Source organism: Homo sapiens, chromosome 10 (assembly GCF_000001405.40).
Source record: "Homo sapiens chromosome 10, GRCh38.p14 Primary Assembly".
Taxonomy (NCBI): domain Eukaryota; kingdom Metazoa; phylum Chordata; class Mammalia; order Primates; family Hominidae; genus Homo; species Homo sapiens.
In genome coordinates, this window is record NC_000010.11 from 60,134,994 (window position 1) to 60,154,486 (window position 19,493).

Below are 19,493 nucleotides of genomic sequence, written 5' to 3' on the forward strand. Positions count from 1 at the left end.
TTCTAGCTCCTCCAACTGTTCTTTCCAGCCACTGTCAAATCCTCCATATGGCCCTTGAACTTCTCAGATGCAGGTACCCTGATGCCCTGATATGCCATCATCACAGTGACCTCTAAACTAAAACTCAATAGAGTCAGGGCCCTTGGGAGAACAGTTCTGCCATGTCACTCTCGTGACCTTGCATATATTCACATAAGTCATACAGGCAAAGACCGGAATTGAAGCTAATCTGAGTCTTCACAGAACACCCTGTGATCTTCCAGGAACTGAGAGGATGGAGGTTGGTGAGGAGCTTCCACGAGATCATCTGCTACTCACCTCCCCATCTCACCTGGGAGGCTGTCATGAGATAGCTTTCATCACTTCCTCTTTCTAATGATGTATGAGGCTTCCTATTCTGCTCTCCTTGGAATAGAGCTGCAGAATATAAAACCATTTAGCTGAAGTCTAGAATTGGCTCCTCGGCAATGGGGTATCCCATAACTAGCATTGTAGACATCCAGCCCCTTTTGTTCTGGTGTCCTTTTAGGTGTAGGGGACAAGGATCATGAGAAGCTAGCACCTTTCACTTCTTCTTTCACTGCCTATATAATTAAAAAACCATCTGGATCTAAAAGTGCCTTCTTGTATCTTTACCAGTTGAACCAGCCAGACTTTGGCTTTGGCCTTGCCTTTTGTGTGCTTGATGGGGAAATGAACAAAGAAGATACACATAAGAGGTAAATAAATGATTCTTTGCATGAAACAATTTCTTTTCCCCACTGCCTGCTATACTAAAGAAAATCAGAAAGTGGGTATCCTTTTATCAAGGTACAGAGCCTCCTGACATTAGAGGCCTCATTCTAAGTGTCTACACAGATAGGTACGTACATTCTTCTAGGATTGGAGCCTTCACTTTTATCAGAATCTCAGATGGACCTCTCTTATCCCCAAACAACCATCATTCTGCAGTCATTATTTAATGTATTCAGCAAAACTTACTAAAAGACCATTATAAGCATAATTCCTGCACAGAGGAACTTATCTAGTAAGCCACATGACTCTAGCCACTTGCACAGTCAGGCCCTCTGTGCCCAATCATGGGACCCATTACTCTCTTTTTTCCCCAGTTTCAATTGCAAGCCCTTCTTTCCGCCATTCCTGTTTCTATTCTCTTACCTTCTCTCAAATACAGTAGAAGCTTCCTAAGAGCAGGAATTCTCTAACTCAACACTGTCCAACAGAACTTTATCCTATGAAGGGGATGTGCTAAATCTGAGCTATCCAACAACAGCGGCTACTGAGCACTTGAAATGTGGCTGGTGTGAACGAACAAATGAATTTAACTAATTTTAATTTAAGTAACTATAGGTGGCTAGTGGCTACATTATTAGTGCAGCTTCTAAGTATTAATAACAATGTTAAATTTTGCTCCAGTGGTGTGATTTGAGAGTCGCCGGCCACTCTCTGCATTAGACATTCATTTCTTCAAATTATGGTCCCCATGGCATGATATGTTAACATTGGGGTGTATGAAACAGTTTTCTATGTAGACAAACACTTAAAAGTTTTAAAAAATAATTACCTATTCATTTTAATTTCATTTTTAAATGTATCTAAACTTTGTTGATACTTCTTAAACATCTCCTCCTTCTTTTAATTTCTCTATGAGTGCCAACTGCAGAACAGAGCCCTGAATTGGGAGCTATCAACCGAAAGGCCTAAAGATGTCTTCATTTTGCATAATGTCTAAAGTTCCTACTTCTGATCATTCCAGACCAATTTAAATTAGACATATGGAGTCAATTAAATCCATCAAGTTTCACTCGGAATCCTTAATACTTCGAAGTACTTTCAGCTGAAAATTAAAGATTATTTGCATGAGGATCTAGAAAACATTAAATTGTTTTCAACTAAGGCCAACTATTTGTAGCCATCAGTACACCCTAAGTGTTAAATATAGGAAGTGTTAGAAAAACATGCCTCAGAATTCTAAATTTATACTAATTTACCTAGCACAACTCAAATAAAACAGAAACCAGCAAACAAACAGCCCTTCACATCAGGACTTTTTCTGCAAACCCAGTGAAATTCCTTTAATTACTTCATGCACTATACAAAACTTGTTAAGGGAAAGAAATTCCTTAAGTATCTGGTAAATTTTGCGTAAGTAATATTTATTATATACTTTCTACTTTTCTTAAAATCAGAAAATTTTTACTGATGTTTCTAAAGCTTTTGAGCAGAAAAAAAGAAAGCACATCGCAGCACATCACAGCACATCACATTACAATGCTAAAGAAAATAAAAATGAGAGCATGAGCCAGGAGAAGGAAGAGAAACACTATAAAAGTGCCATGTCTTCTTACCTTATCTTGGGACTATTTTAAAGTAATTTTAGGAAAAAAAAAAAAAAAAAACAAGAAATAGAAAGCAAAAAATCAGACAGGGAAAAAAGAAAAAAAATGTTATGGTTGAATGAGTTACACATTTAATGTACTCCTTTTAAAATGTTACACTCAGAATATATTTTACTTGATAATACTCTAACAATGTGCTTAAAAATATTGGCTTTATAGATTTTTAAAAAATATTTGCCTCTGAGCATAACATGAGTCATCAAAGTAAAAAAAATGAGTTACATATAATAGCAACAAATAATAGTGCAATCAAAATTAGAAGTGTGAAAGCCTTGGAATTATATTAAGAAAAAAAATACAGTGCGATATTCTGGTTTCCTATGTCACTGGAGGTCAGCTACTACAGTTTTCTACATAAAAATGACTGATCACAAAATGTGTCATATATTATCAGAAGAACAGAAGGCAAGCTAGTTATTGGATTTCAAAAGCTATAAATCTCTACAATTTAAACAAGATCTACAGGATCTCAAGAACCTTAAAAGTTCTACATATTTTCCATTTTAACTTGTTGCTATCTTTGATCGCCTAAAAGATTGCATATTTTTTTAAAGTTATTTTTCCTCTTCCTGTTAATGACACCTGCTACAATAAGACTTTAAGGCCTTTTATAAATGTATTTATAAGGCAAAAGTTCTACCAAGCTATATGAGTTTCAAATTCCTACTAAAAAAAAGACTAGAAGAAAAATCAATTCAATATCCATACTGGCCACACCAACTACACTGAGAATAAACTCCAGGGTTTACTTTGTGGGAAGTGCCATTTACTATTAGACAATGAAACTTTCTACAACAGATCCTTAAACTATAGGAAAATGTCCTCAGGGCTCTGGCTTAGAAGGTTTAATTATTAGCTTTAAAATCCACACTAGGGCAAAGAAGTCTCCAAATTCTGCACAAGGTTCTGTTTCTTTCAACTAGTTTAAGAAAAGTTTGAGTCAAGGTTTTCCCATACAGAAGTTTTCCACTTCAGTTGTAAGAACTGAATTTGTCACCATTCCTGTCTGTGACTTTTGGTAAATCACTGTTATACTTCTTACATGTCCCTTGTAAACAAAATAATGGAACAGTTTTAGAAGAGATACTCAAACACTTGGTGGACAACTTTAATAAACAACATAATTTTTTTTCAAAAATGCTCTCTTTTAATCATGAATTATTATTTCAGTAACAGAGAATAGTGAACAATCTATACACATATTTCTCACTTATTAGCAAATAATACTTTCTTTCAATATGGAACAAAACTTAATTTTGAAATATGTGACTCAGATTGGTTCTCCCAGTTTTGTCAGTGAGCTCTTTTGCTACTGTGCTGGCAGCATGACTGCAAAGTGGGAAAAAAAAAAAGAACACACAATTAACATGTTCAATCACATGAAATTAACAACCGCAAACCACAAAAGAAAATAGCAGAGCATGTGTATTTGCGTCGAGAACATTTCGCTAAATTCACATCTTCATCCAAAGAACACATTTTGGGATAATGTGAAAAATGAACATGATTTTGATTTATGACAAATCATGGTTGTTTTAAATTAACTATGAAAGACAGCAACAACGAAGTACCTGGCAGAACGCGCTCCGAGACTAAAGCCCATGTAACCCTCTGCAGGCAGGGAATCATCACCCAATTCCTTAAGGTCCTGTGGCCCAAGATATTTGTCTGTGTCCCCGGTCATTGCATCTTCACCTGCAGATGTAGAGAGTAAGCCCACATCAAAAGCTTCCCTTTTGAAAGTGTCAGCTGTGGAGAAAATCACTCCTTTGGTTATCAGCAAATCCCCCAATATCTCATATTCACCTTCCCCTATCACCTGGATAATTTTTGAAACTCTCATTTAGAAGGAAAAGGTATAGGTAAAGGTTAGTACACAATTTCAAGAGTGAATTTAAGTAGCGGAAACAACTCCTGGTATTAAATACAAATCTGAAAACATTACCCGTATCCCTTTGCTTCCCTGTAAGCCTCAGCTGACTAGAAAGGTGGATGTTTTATGTCAGTTATAGTTTTCCTCACCTCACCTCACCCACGATGAGGGCAGCTTGTTTGAATGGACATGGATTACAAAATAAGAACCACCTCTTCATTACTGTTCTTGAAATTATATGTGGGAAGGAAACAGACATTTAAAAAAAAAACTGGTTTTCTCACACACAGGATTTCAGTTTGGGGCTTAAGTAAGAAACTAGCAAGTTATGTGAACTATAACTTGCTTGGTTGGAGAGCCTTGGAACACATCAATTTTGAAATGCTTCTAAACCTATCAAATTAACAACAGCCCAACTGTCCCAATGCTTGAAATCTACATGGAAAGCAACACAGCCTTCTCCAGAGATAATATGGGTGCTTTAGCACTTTGAAAGGACTATATAAATTGCTCTTTAATTATCAAGACAAAGAGTTAATTATGTGAAATACTTTTACCAGCTACGTATGCAAAACATGACATCATATGGAAAAACCACATTCCAAGAGTGACAAGGCAGGTTTTTCAATTGTCTTTTGCCCTCTGGGACATTTCCCATCCTTCTCAAAAGGTAGCACAGGCTGCAGAAAAGTTCCTTCCCCACACAGGCAAACTCTTACCCTCTTTCTGGACGCAAGCTTCACTGGCCAAGAGATTGCAAAAGTGTACATGTTGTGTTTTCTCAAAGGTAAGTGATTCATTCCCCCAGATATATTTTCCAATTCCTGCATTCGGTACTGTTTACATTTTCCATTCATTTAAACTCAGGAAACCGCAAGAGCTCAGCTTTTAAACTACCAATCAAGTCTAAAAATACACTGTCAACTACTGTTTTTGCAAATGTAAAAACTAAACAGATCAACTTTCTACTGCTGCTACCCAGTACCAAGAGATTATTTTAAGTAACTATTTACGGCTGGGCTATTTGCACATTCACTGCATCTCAAACAAAAACAGCACACACCAAGTACAACTCAAAGATCTTACTCTGCGGTAAAGCCATTTCCACTAGGCTTGGATGATCAAATGTTTTCCTGATGTTTCCAGGAATTCCTTAAGCAGTGATTTAGAATCAACCTCCAAAACAGCTCAAGGAAACCAATCCCTGGTTTGTATCCACTCTCTTCACCACCGCTGAATTCCTCTCAGCATCTTGATATCCTCGTAGGCAATTGAGGAATTATACATCTTTCCCCACTCAGAGTTCGAAGATTTTCAAAATTTCAGGCCCCCAAAAAAATCTTTTTAAAAAACCCCACTTAATTGAGGTTAAGATCCTTTTGACCACTTCGCAGACATCCTTTTAAAGCTCCTTCTGATTGGATTAAAAACTCCTCTGGCAAGCCTCTAGCAGGACAGAATGGTGACATAAATGCAAGCCCCTGAGTTATTTGTATGTAAATATGAGGACTGCTCCGGTGTAGACTTTCGGTAATTTGATACCAATGCGCGTTGCCTAGTCGGGTAACCAAGACAGCCTTCATGTAGGGAGAGAGCGAAGTGCTACATTTAATTAGGAGGTGATTCTTCTCAAATATGAATGAAGAAACAGCCAACCCAGGTAGAGGAAAAACATTAGAAGAAAACAAAGCAGTGGCCCAGGCGGGGAGTGGCATGGAGCTCCAGGCAAACTTTCAACTTTGTTCTCAGCTGGGAACACTGGGAGCCTCAGTTATTTATGGTCCCTGTCAGGTGGAAGGAGGGGAAAAAGAGAGAGGGAGGGCCTGCCCTTGAGTTGAGGTTGTGAAACTGGGGCTAAGGAAAGCAGCAGTGATTCCCATAACTCTCCAAGAGGCACTTTGCAATACACTAATTGCCGCTGCTTTTTATCAGGAGTTTGAAGAAGGGAGCAGAAGTGAGACAAGTTGGAAAAAGCAAATGGGTGTTCTGCTTTATTTTTGGCCCAAGTTCTTTCAACTATTTAATATGGAGGGACTCACTGGTGCTCCTTCGAGAGGTCCCTGGAGGAAGTGCAAAGCAAAGGGAGAACTGGGGTTGGCTGGAGAGGCCTCTGTTGCCCCAGATAGGAGGCAGGACTGAGGTCTGTCACTTTGCTGTTACATTGTTTCTTTCTCTCTCCACTAGTGGCCTTCCTTCTCAGCTGCTCCACCCTGTTTATGTTGGCAGTGAAGGAAAAAACTAGCAGGACTTCCCCATCTTCCATCTGGGTACACTGGAGAGGCCATTTCAATTGCTGTTTTTTTTTTTTTTTTTTTTTTTTTGCTTCCCTCCAGCCCCCACCGCCCCCGAGAATACCTGGAGAATTGGGCTCAAAAGTAAAGGGTTTAGAAACTGTCTTGCTGAAGTAAGCAGTCTTTTATAAGAGCACATCTATCCCCTTGGAATGTTACCTAAATATACAGGAATCTGAATCTGTAGAACCGATAAAGTAGGGGGAAAAATCTGTTTTCCCTGGATACATGCATAGATGAATGGATAAATGCATGATTCATATAATATTAGGATGCTATGACACCTGGTGCTTTACTCTGATCAGCCTGGCTGTAATCAACATGGGAAATACATGGAAATAGAAGGGAAGTCATTTATAATGTCTGGAACATATTGAAAACTATTCCCAAGCAGAGAATAATTTCCAACTCTAAAGAATAGAAGGGGAAGTCTTGTTTAAAGAGAAATGTCTGAATGTTCATCGACTTTTTAAGTCTGTATTTCGAATCGAAACTACAGAACTGAGCAAAGCGTTATTCAAATACTGTCATTCATTCCAATTTCTCAGCAAGGCCTATGATGCAATGTTCCTTCCACTGACTTCTTGGCTATTTTTCCTTCTTGGCTATTCTTCCACACCCACCTTCCCTCCTGTTATACAGAATTTTTTCAGTCCCTAGAAGTCCTTAAACTCTTTAGACTTTGAGCCTTTACTAGGGTGTATTCTCTTGATGGAAACTTTATCGTTTTTTCCTGATGAACTTCTCTAATCTTTGACTCTTTCTAGAAGCCGTCGCACCCTCTACTCACCATTAGGTGTCCCTCATCAGAATGTATTGCCAGTAAACACATCTGCTTAGTCTTTCCCATTGGCTGGTGAGATCCCCTAAGTTAGGAGCCATATTCTTCCTGGGCCAGGTATATTGGAAGTTCTCATAAATAATCTTGGAATCCATGACTGATAATAAATATAAGTTATTTTTATGTTTATCTTTTAAATCTACATGTCATGGCAACTTAGCACTCTTTTCAAATATTATGTTAAATGACTGGTATACAGTAAAATTTCAATGAAAGTAAGTTTCCATTATTCTTTAGCCGTACTTCTTAGACTTCAGAAATGGTCACTATGAAACAAAAAGAAGTCTGGGGTAGGAGTGGGAGTTGTCAACACACTTGGCCAAAGATTAATGAAAATAAAATAGCCTTATAACATTAAGTAATTATCCACTTAGCATTTTAGAATGGTGAGAACATTTCTTAAAAGACATGGAATTTAGAAATAAAAGCAATGGTATTCTTTTAATGCTGTTTTCCACAGTAGGTGCTCTAGGTTCAAATCCAAGCTGTACCATGTATTGACTGGGTGACCTTTGAAATACCATTTAACTGCTCTGAGTCATAGTTCCAACCTCTATAAAACTGGGGGTAATAAGTCTGCCTCTACCCTCAAGCCTCCTGGGGAGATTTAAATGAAATAATGCACAAAGTAAGGGCTTAATCAGCACGATTACTATTATTCTGTTGCACAATTTTTTCCAATGCCCAAATATCTGAATGCATGAACTCAAATAGCATTTAAATTGCTACTATTTATACTGGTAAAGGCAAAATCCAATTACAGCAGTAAAATGTCCCTGTTCTCCATTACTTATAAGCCAGGCATTGTGTTAGGAAAATTTGTTGATGGAATGAATGAATGAACAATAACAACAACAAAGTTCATTCACACTCCTTTCAATGAACAAAACATTCTATCATTATTATATAGTACAACACACTACTGTACCAAAGATTAGAAAGGAATGAGATGAATTGTATTGTGTGATTTGTTAACTTTCTCTAATCCACTATATAATCCAAACACATTTTGGCTAGTGGCAGCTTCTAACACGTGTGTATAAGCCAACCAAGGTAATTTATTAACAGATGACATGCATTTTATATCAGATATATTTAGCTTAAAAATGTTACCAAGATCACATATTTTCACTTACTAAAAAGGAGCTGTGTAGGTTTATGTTTTCTAAAGTTATTTGGTGCAGTGAAATAAGAGCTGTGTTATAGAGGAATTTGACTATTTTTAGGCAAAGAGGATTTTGGTAGCTCATCTTTAAAATGCCCGCCTCACCCTTACCTCCAATGAACTATGTTTCCTTCTATTCATGCCCTTGCATAGTACCCCTAAATTGAATCTGGGTTGGCTGAAATTTTGAACAGTAAAATTTGGCAAAGTGATTTTGAATGAATGAGTTTGTGTTCAAAGAAACCTTGCAGACTCCTCAAGTCTCTTGAAACAGTGGTTTGGGGGAAGCCAGTCCCAATGTAAGAGATCTGACTATGATGATAGCACCATGTTATAAAGAAGCTCAAGGTAGCCATATGGAGAGGCTGCTTAGAACCAGGGAAAGAGAGAGACAAAAAGAGAGTCAAAGAGAGAGAGAGAGAGAAAGAGAAATGCCCAGCCAACGCTCAGCTGTCGCTGCCATCCTAGCTGAGGTGTCAGACCTTTGAATGAAGACACCATCTTGGACATCTGGTCATGTTCCTCCACCTCAGCTGCTGACTGCAATCTCATAAAAGATCCCAAGACTCAGCTGAGCCCCGATTAACTCACAGAACCAAGGTAGATAATAAGACCTTAAATCACTGAGTTTCGGGGAGGCTGTAATTTTGTAATAGGTAACCAAAACAAAAATGAGAAATGACAAGGTCCAAAGGTAAACCAAAGAGGTCACACTCTGGTTGCCTAATGTATCACTAATAAATTAGAGTTAGCTCTGTAGTGCATTAAATGATGTGCATACACAAAGCCCAGGAGCACAGTGGCAAATGCCATTAGAGAAGGCCTCACTTAGTATTGACTTGATGCATTTCGAAACTTTTATCTTGAGCACTGATGTTCTTATTGTTAATCTACATCTGTCAATAAATTATCAGAGCCTACAAAATATTTAAAAAGAATACAAAACTCCCCAAATCTACCTGATCCCACCACTAACCAATTAATAAAAGCAGTTCAGAGGCATTTTACTTCAACTACTCAGCAATCTCCTCTTCCTAGTCCTCCCTACATCATGACTAGGCTGAAAGAAGAGATTTCCTACACCATAATCAACCATTCAAAGATCTGTCAACTTCGTCTGCCAGGAAAACAATACAAAATAGAAACAGGAACAAAGGAGAGAAAGAGAGTATATTAAATGATTATCAGGACTGTGGTGGGCCAAATAGGTGTGCCCTCATTCCTTTTTAGATTCCAAGTCAATGGTCCAGTACATGGTGTAATATACCCAACCCAACATCCTCACAATCTTTCATTATGCCCCCTAATGATCCTTTTTCATGTCGAATAAAGGAAATAGTTATTGGCCTAATATTTAAAAGTGTTTTCTTATCCTAGAAGTTATTTTCTCTTCTTTTCTTCCCCCACCCGATGTACTTTTCTTCTAATCTCTTTCCACCTTAAGACCATCACCAAGGAAAACTTCTGTCACTTTTCCATGAACTGAAAGCTGTTTTCCCATCTGGCTGGAGACTTCAGTCATAAAGTTCCTTAAGACAAGGATACCAAATTGTATTATTAGAAACTTTGCTCAAAAGTGTTTAATTCTTCTGTAAAATACAGAATCTCCCATTATAAAGTTTAAATTAATAGTTAATAGTACAGACCAAATAGTACAACCCTGCAAATTACATGGGATTAAGAAAGATTAGAAAGAATAAAGAGAAACAGTGTCTCTATACTCTACTGATTTACTAGGAGTTGATTTCTTAATAGAACTCAGCAAATAGTCTAATACACAAGAGATTAATGATCAAACTTGACTTAAATTTACTGTTGCTTATCCTTTAAAAAGTGATTTTCTTTGATCATACAGCAAAGAGAGGAAATGAAAACTATTGGGAAAATAAATCCTTTATTTCTAGTCAGCATTACAGAACAGTAGAATCAGATCAATTATAATTAACACTAATATTTATTGAGCATTTACTATGTTTTAGGCACTGTGTTTGGTGTTTTATATGTATTATTTAATTCTCATAATCTTATAAAACAGAATTGTTATTTCCATTTCAAAATAAAACACAGTTTAGAGTGGTGGAATAAATACTCCAAGATTACTTAGAATATACAGAAAATAGGATTCAAAATCAGTTGCTGTCACTCTAGAGCCCTTCTTTTAACTACCACAGTGCGCTGGCCATACAAAACTTAAGATGCTATTGAATGAATATTACAAGAAATTCGTAATCAAAATGTAAGCTCCTTGAGGGCAAGGGGGCTTTGTCTGTTTTGCTTCATATCATTGCCCAGAACAGAACCTGGCACATAGTAGGTGCTCAATAAATGTGGAATGAATGAAAGAGCAGTGATTGCCTTTCAAAATGGGAACTATATTTACTGGGGCAAAGAGGAGGGAGACTTACTTTTCACCGTAAACTCTTGTACCTTGGGAATTTTGTACCATGTGCATCTATTACCTATTCAAAAAATGAATAAAATTAACAAAATAAAACAAAACAAAATATAGGGACCACAGATCAGTCATATAAGCTCTATGTTCCATCCACCAGAAACAGTATTGTCACTTACATAAGTCTGCCATGTAGATACGAAGATGTGTTTGTGTACCAGTGGATATCCAGCAAGCAAGCAAAGGGAACACTCAATACTTTGATATTCTACCTTACATGCCTCTTTAAGAGATGGAACAGAAAAAGTGAAGTAACAAGGCAGGAAGAAGGAGATGCACGCTATTAATGTGGTACTTCTAGTAGTTTCAGGGGTACGTGTGCAGGTTTGTAACATGGGAAAACTGCATGTCACAGGGGTTTGGTGTACAGATTATTTCATCATCCAGGTAAAGAGCATAGTACCTGATAGACAGTTTTTCAATCCTCACCTTTCTCCCACCCTCCACCCCCAAGTAGGCCTTGGTGTCTGTTGCTCCCTTCTTCTTTCTTTGGAGACACAGTCTCACTCTATTGCCCAGGCTGGAGTGCAGTAGCATAATCTTGGCTCACTGCAACCTCTGCCTACTGGGTTCAAGTGATTAGCCTGCCTCAGCCTCCCGAGTAGTTGGGATTACAGGCACCCGCCACCAAGCCCAGCTAATTTTTGTGTTTTTAGTAGAGACAGGGTTCCACCATATTGGCCAGGCTGGTGTTGAACTCCTGACCTCAGATGATTCGGCCTCCCAAAGTGCTGGGATTACAGACATGAGCCACTGCGCCCGGCAAAGATTTATATCTCATTCAACATTTAGACGATAAATTCTCAGCCTAGAGAATCCAAATGACATATTTGCTCACATTACTTTTCCCTTGATCTCCTGATATTTTCATTCTCAAAAGAACAAGGAAGCAGGAGTAAGAAAAAGAAATATGGTAGGATTAGGATCCTGATCCCTCAAACTTGGATTCTAAAAGTCTAATTCTGGCCCAGAGTTACAGAATAGTTGATGGGAACGTTAGTTAGATGCCAGATCTGCATGTATTTCTCCTTTCATTTTTCAGTTTGGAGCAAGAGCTCGTGTTAAGTAAGGTTTCCTGTGAATATTCTGAGAGGTGATAAAAAGCACGAGGTGGTGTTTGGAGGATGGAATTGTGCCATCTGCTTCAGGAGGTTCCTGCATGTAGCCCAGGAACTTCTGTGTCAGGCTGGAGGACCCGCAAGCCTTGCACTGGTGATGCTGCAAGCCCAGCTCATCTCTGTACCTTCTGGCAGGACTGGAGCCTCAGAGAAAAACTGACAGTCCCGTGCTCAAGGTATACAATAGAGTGAGCATTCACTTCCTGCCCCCTTCACTCTCCACCTCTCCTCTCAGTAGGAAGAAGGAGAGGATTATTTATGGGGTGGGAGAGAGGGTCTTCACTTTAACCCTTTGTTTGCCATCATATGCTGGCCATGGTTGTCGTTCTTTCAAAACAGAAAATAAGTGCTAGGATATACTTTTGATATGGTTTGGCTCTGTGTCCCCACCAAATCTCATGTTGAATTGTCATCCCCAGTGTTGGAGATGGGGCCTGGTGGGAGGTGGTTGGATCACATGGGTGGATTCTCATGAATGGGTTGGCACCATCCCCCTGGTGCTGTTCTCGTGATAGTGAGTGAGTGAGTTATCATGAGATGTGGTTGTTTTAAGGTGAGGGGCACCTCCCCTTCCTCTCTCTTCCTCCTGCACCGGCCTTGTAAAGTACTGGCTCCCCCTTTGCCTTCCCCTATGATTGTAAGTTTCCTGGGGCCTCCTCAGAAGCAGAAGCTGCTATGCTTCCTGTACAGCCTGCAGAACCATGAGCCAATTAAACCTCTTTTCCTTATAAATTACCCAGTTTCAGGTATTTCTTTATAGCAGTGTGAGAATGGACTAATACAACTTTCTGGCTTTCCTTCTGAAAATGGGTGGTAATTATGGATTAAGTTGAGAAAATAGTTAAATAAGCATTGGGTAAACTAGGTAAATTAAGAAGGCCAAAGAAGCGTGTTCTCATTTTAAGGGATGCATGTGCCTCCTGTGGGATGGCCATCAGCAGCATTCTGCCTTCCTTTCCCTAGTTCTAGGTGCTCATGAGAGCCTGGCATTGTAGGTGGCCAAAAAAGAATCAGGTTTGAATGACAAAGTTTGCACACCTCTGAAAGAACAGCAAACTGCCATTATTCATTCCACAGAACAAATGACCCTGCTTAAGCTGTTTTTTTTTTAGTACAAACCAGTTTGATTCTTTTTCTACCTCTTCATAGAAAAACCTGAATTCTCTTTCCTTTCTGAGATGGGTTTGTTTATTAACCCAAACAAGATCACATAGGACATTTTTCATTGCTCCACCTGGAAAAGTTCCAACACTGAGTCATGCATGCTTACTTTAGAAACTATATCTAGCCTGGATTAAGAAGCAGTAAAGTGCCATACAGGTTTTAAAAAGAAGCACTTTTAGCCACAAAGAACAGAATAAAGAGAATTCAGGTTTTTCCTATGAAGAGGCAGAAAAAGACAATGTTGGGACAGACTCTAAAATTCCTTCATATTCTTTCTTATTAGTACTCCTTAACTCAGATACAGAAATTCCTTTAGTCCTCTAAGTAAGATCAAACACCATACTGACTTGGTCAAAGGAGCACTGAAGTCTAAAGACAGAATGCAGGTAGAAAGAAGTAAAAGATTACTTATACTGTTCTCATTATCTAAAATCTAAGCCACTTGTGAAGAAGACTAGACAATGAACTAATTGCTAGCCACAAACTAGCCCTGGAAAATCAGGCACAAAAATGTTGGTTCTCACTTGCAGAGAAACTAGGTAGCTAAATTCAAGGTGGCAGTATCATGACAGCTGATTTGTCCTATTCATTCTTCCTTAGCTATTTGTCTAGCCTCAACCCCAAATCCAGACTGCATTATTCTCACCTCTTCATTGCCTAGGCACACAAGGACCATGAGTACAATACAGGAACACGTTAATCACTGTTCCCAGGTATAAAGAAGTACCAGGCTCGTGTATAAACAGCGATTTTGGCCTTTTCTTTCCCTTACACCCAAATTGCCTATCATTGTGCCTGGCAATAAACATCCATTTATTGGTTTGTTTTGTACTTCCAACCTATACCCCAGAGATGTGTACACACAAGGCAAAGACACATGAGGCCTGTCCTCAGTTCTCATTCTCACTGGGGTTCTGACTCACCCCTCCCCATTGGGACATCTTTCCTGGGCTCCTCTCACTCCTCTTGCTCCTAGCTCCCTGTGCACCACCTTGTCTTCCCCTTGCTCATTCATTCTCACTGTTGTGTTCTCTGAGCTAATGAGAGGGCTACAGGGTGGTTACATTAGGACAACCTTCCACAGGAAGCAGGTCAGACTTTTCAGGTAGATGGAAGGGACAGACCTGATTTAGGGGGAAAAAATATTCAAAATTACAATTTGTTTGGGGCAAATAAAAAAAACCACAACAGCCTGTTGTTTGCAGTTAAACAAGCACACAATTCCTTGGCGTCTGTTAAATATTTCACAGGCTGCTCTAGCTGCTCACTCTATCATAGCTTCTTGGAGGAAAAAAATATACTCGCTGTGACCTTCCCTACCTACACTAGAACTCTTATCTTCTGTCTATATCCAGGATATTCCATATGGCATGGCAGCTGCTGAGGTCACCAAGGATTCCCATACCCCTTATTTTGTTTTGTTGTTATTTGAGACGAAGTCTCGCTCTGTCGCCCAGGCTGGTGTGCAGTGGTACGATCTCGGCTCACTGCAACCTCCGCCTCCTGGGTTCAAGTGAGTCTCCTGCCTCAGCCTCCTGAGTAGCTGGGATTACAGGCACCCACCACCACGCCTGGCTACTTTTTGTATTTTTAGTAGAGACAGGGTTTCGCCATGTTGGCCAGGCTGGTCTCAAACTCCTGACCTCAGGTGATCCATCCGCCTCACCCTCCCAAAGTACTGGGATTACAGGCGTGAGCCACCATACCCGGCCTCCTATACCACTTGTGCTCTTTTGATTGGAGCTTTCTAGGAAAGTTCCTCCCAGGCTTCCTCTAGCACCCACTCCTCAGGTTTTTTCCCCTTCATCCTTCACCACTCCCTTTCCATGTCCATTAGCATTCTTCTTCCTCTTATGTGTGCCCAGAGTTTTCCAGAACCGCTTCTCTTCCTCCTTGTGTGCTGCCCTGGGACCTCATCCGGTGCCTGGCGTCTGCACCCTTGTCCCCACTCCTGTGTGCTGAGCTCTTCTGTGGGGGCCTGTGCTTTCCTGTCTCTGACACTTTGACCAACAAGTTTTCTAAATATGAAACACCTCTTCCCAATCCCCATCCTTCTACCCGTGCAAAATTTCTGTGTGTCCAAATCCTATCTATTCTTTAAAATGCCTTTAAAGTTTGTTTTTGAGGTCTTTAATAATCTCCCTGTCTTTTTAATTTTCTTGTCACTTAATCTGTTATTCTCTCATGGCACCTGACATGGTTTGGATGTCTGTGCCCTCCAAATCACATGTTGAAATTTGAGCCCCAGTGTTGGAGGTAGGGCCTTGTGGAAGGTATTTGGATCATAGGGGCAGATCCCTCATGAATGGCTGGATGCCCTCCTTGTTGTAGTGAGTAAGTACTCACTCTGTTTGTCCACACAACAGCTAGTTGGTTAAAGAGACTGCCACCTCCTCCTCTCTCTCTTGCTCCCTCTCTTGCCATGTGACATTCCTGCTCCCCCTTCTCCTTCTGCCATGAATAGAAGCTTCCTGAGGCCTCACCAGAAGCCAAGCAGATGCTGGTGCTATGCTTGTACAACCTGTAGAACCATGAGCCAAATAAACCTCATATATATATATAAATTATCCAGTCTCAGGTATTTCTTTCTAGCAGCGCAAAACAGACTAACACAGAATCTCGAGTAGAAAGTCTAAGGTAAAAAATTCTAAATGCAAATTCCAGTTTCTGTAACTGTGTGAACGTGAGCAAATATCTTAAACTCCTTGAGACTGACTCCTTAATATAATTAGGACTAATAGTACTTTAAATTAGGGTATTAAATTAGGACATAATGGAAATTAGGAGTAAAAATAGTATTAATAATGCTGTTGAATACTTTGAGAGAAGTAACAAAGATACAGCACCAAGTAAGTAACATTTCCTGAGTTCTTACCACATGCCAAGTTCTAGGCTAAATGCTTTTCACATATGTCATTATATATACTTTGAAGGTCTATCCCCTCCAAATCTCTTGTTGAAATGTGATCCCCAGTGTTGGAGGTGGGGCCTAGTGGGAGGTGTTTGGGTCATGGAGGTGGATCCCCCATGAATGGCTTGTGCCATCCCCTCTGTAAAGAGTGAATGCTTGCTCTATTAGTTACCGTGAGATGTGATGTTAAAAAGAGCCTGGCTTAGTTAGGCTTTTAAGATTCATTCATACTGTTGTATATAATTGAAGTTTCCTCCTTTCCTCTCTCTTGCTTCCTCTCTTGCCACCTAACTCTCCTTTACCTTCTGTCATGAATGAAAGCATCCTGAGGTCTTACCAGAAGCAGATGGATGGGCAAGGACAGATACAATGCAGAGGAAAAAAAAAAGTGTTCAAAATTACAATCTGTTTCAGCCACCATGCTTCTTGTACAGCCTGCAGAACTGTGAGCCAAAATAAACCTCTTTTCATTATAAATTACCCAGCCTCAGATATTCCTTCATATGAATGCAAAACAGACTAGCATAGGTATTCAAACTTAACAATAACTCAACCATTATGGGGCTCTTATCTAAATTACCAGACAACATCTATATTAGAAGTACAAGGATTTGAATATCAGCTCCAGCACTGATGTTGTGTGACCTTAATCAAGTTCCTTAACCTTACTGAAACTTATTTTCCACATCTATGAAATGAAAATGACAATGGCTCCAATTTAATCATTGTGAGGGTTAAATTACATAATGCATGAAATGTGTCTAGCTTAATGCCTAGCACATAGAAAGATTCAATCATGGTAAATACCTTGTTTCTGATGGTGAGAGTATTAATTTACATGGAATCCTGAGGGGGGACAGAGACACAGGTAAATGTGTGGAATTAAGCCAGTAGATACATTCATGAATGAAGGTACAGATGTATACACCCTAAGACCTATGATAGACACCAGGACAACTCTGATCCTATGGCACTGACTAGTCTAGTTTGAAAGAAAATATAAAAAACTAACCATGAGTTGGCAAACTACAACCCATGGGCCAAACCCAGCCTCTTGCCTATTTCTGTAAATAAGCTTTATTAGTATCACACAATCAGGCCTGTTGATTTAGGTATTATCTCTGGTGGCTTTTGTTCTACAAAGGCAGAGTTTAGTAGCTGTGACAGAGACCAATATGGACTAAACATTCAAAAATATTTACCACTGGCTCTCTATAGAAAAAGTCTGCTGACTCTTGAAATTAATGACTAATAAAATGAGATGAGTATTAGGATGAAATAAAAAAGCATAAGTGAAAGGAGAATGGAAAGGGGTTAGCCAGGGACCATATCACACAGGACTTACTAATCATGGCAAACTACTGAAATTACTCTAAATGCAATATAAAGCCTTGCGTGGGTTTTAGTTTTGTATTTGTACTACTTTAAGGGTGTATTTATATTATTTGTGTGGCTTGGTTACTTTTGTTACAAAATACGGCAACCACACAGATGAGAATATAAAATATAAATATACATTTTAGCAAACTGTTATAAAATAAACACCATCCAGGTGAAGAAATAGAACATCATCAGCACCTCAGAAGACTCCCACATCCCCCACCCCAAACACAGGCCCCTCTTACCTCCTCAAGGTAATTGCTTTCTATATATTCTTTTCCTTCCTTAAAAATCTCAGTATCTAATTTTACAAGCATAGTTTATTGTCATCTGGTTTTGATGAATTCTGTTGTCTTCACATAATATACAACTCAGCAATTATACTCCTAGGTTTACATCCTACAGAAATGTATGCATATGTGTACCAGGAAACTTATATAAGAAAGTTTGTAACAACAGTTCAAACTTGAAACAACCCACATTCTCATCAACAGTAGAGTGGATAACTCAGTGTGGTACAGGCAGACAATGGAATATTGTATAGAAATGAAAATGAATGAAGTTCAATTATATGCAGCAGTATGAATAAATCTTAAAAGCCTAACTATAAGCTTTGGATGGTTTTAAGCTAAGGAGTGGAATAACATGATCCAATGTATATGTTTAAAGGCTTGTGTGGATGCTGTGGAGAAAGCTGAGTCTACTGGGTAAGAGAAGAACTGGAGATCTGTAAGGAGGCTCCTGCAGTATTCCATGTGAGAGATGTGGTGGCCTGGATGGGGGTGGTGAAAATGGAGATGGAGAAGAGAAGAGAGATTTGAGATGTATTCTGAAAGTAGGACTGATATGACTTGCTGATGGACTGGATAGAAGTGCTGTGGGAAGACAGATTGCATAAAACTCAGATTTTGCCTTGGGCGATGGAGCCATTTATTGAGATGGAGAAGGGTGAGAAAAGACACTATTTTCAAGGGGTATGTTTAGGTATCTTAAGGTGACTTAAGATATCAGAACCTAAATGAAAATGTACATAGCTGGATAAGTGGATAGTGTGGGTGATAATCACTATATAATTCTAATTCCAAAGACAGGATACCAATGATGGAACAGACTTTGCTTTAGAATAAAGGCCCTTGTCCCAGTCCACAGATCTTCTTCTTTAGCTGGTAATTCTTTTAAATTCATCAACTATTCCTTGAGATGCAGATATGCTTTGGGAGAGTCATTATAAAGCTGTTTATCAACTTAAACATAGCCTAGGACTGTCTCAGTAAAAAGGAGCTGAATGAAAGGAAAAGGTAGCATTGTCAGCAATCTTCATCTTGCTTCATCTCAGAAACCTGCTAAACTATCCCTTGAGTATGACTTCATGTTGATGCAACCGATCAAACATGTATTGAAGATCTCTGTGTACCAAGCAGTATACTAGGTTCTTGCGATAAAACAGAGAATAAGATTTAGTCTTTGCTTCTGGTATTTTAAAGTTACCATTTTGGCTTTATCCCTGAGAGATACAAGCAATTATGTAACATCGATTTGAAAGGCCAATTGTAAGCAGAGAAATCTTCAGGCAAAAGGCTAAATGATATAAGAGGTTCTTGTAAAACAACAAAATTTCAGGTGAAGAACAATTTCTGAAGCTGCTAAGAACAGTGACTTAATGAAACCAAACCCTTGAATCACCTGAGGGCAACCTGATCTCCATGGCCTCTTTCCAGATCTATTAAGCTAATAACATAACAGTCCTATTTATTTAGAATGATTAGGAAATTAGGGTAGCAGGAGAGTCCTAGACATTTGGCAAGAAGAGGTCCTAACTGGTCTTTTCCTGGTGGTCTTCTTCAGATCTACCTTCACATTTCCCAAAGTAATTCACCTTACTTTTTTGAGTTTTGGATT

At 39.1% G+C, this 19,493-nt stretch overlaps 1 protein-coding gene across 5 annotated transcripts in view; it reads right to left on the reverse strand.

The window, feature by feature from the left end:
- Nucleotides 1-19,493, reverse strand: part of ANK3 (ankyrin 3) — a 707,231-nt gene that overhangs the window by 108,696 nt on the left and 579,042 nt on the right. For 3 of the 5 annotated variants that reach the window (NM_001204403.2, NM_001320874.2, NM_020987.5), the window contains one exon: nucleotides 3,971-4,094. In NM_001204403.2, the coding sequence (NP_001191332.1) occupies nucleotides 3,971-4,094 (124 nt within the window). Of the gene's footprint in view, nucleotides 1-3,970; nucleotides 4,095-5,358; nucleotides 5,748-10,974; nucleotides 11,029-19,493 lie in introns of those variants that run through there. The other 2 variants (NM_001204404.2, NM_001149.4) reach the window with 2 other exon arrangements.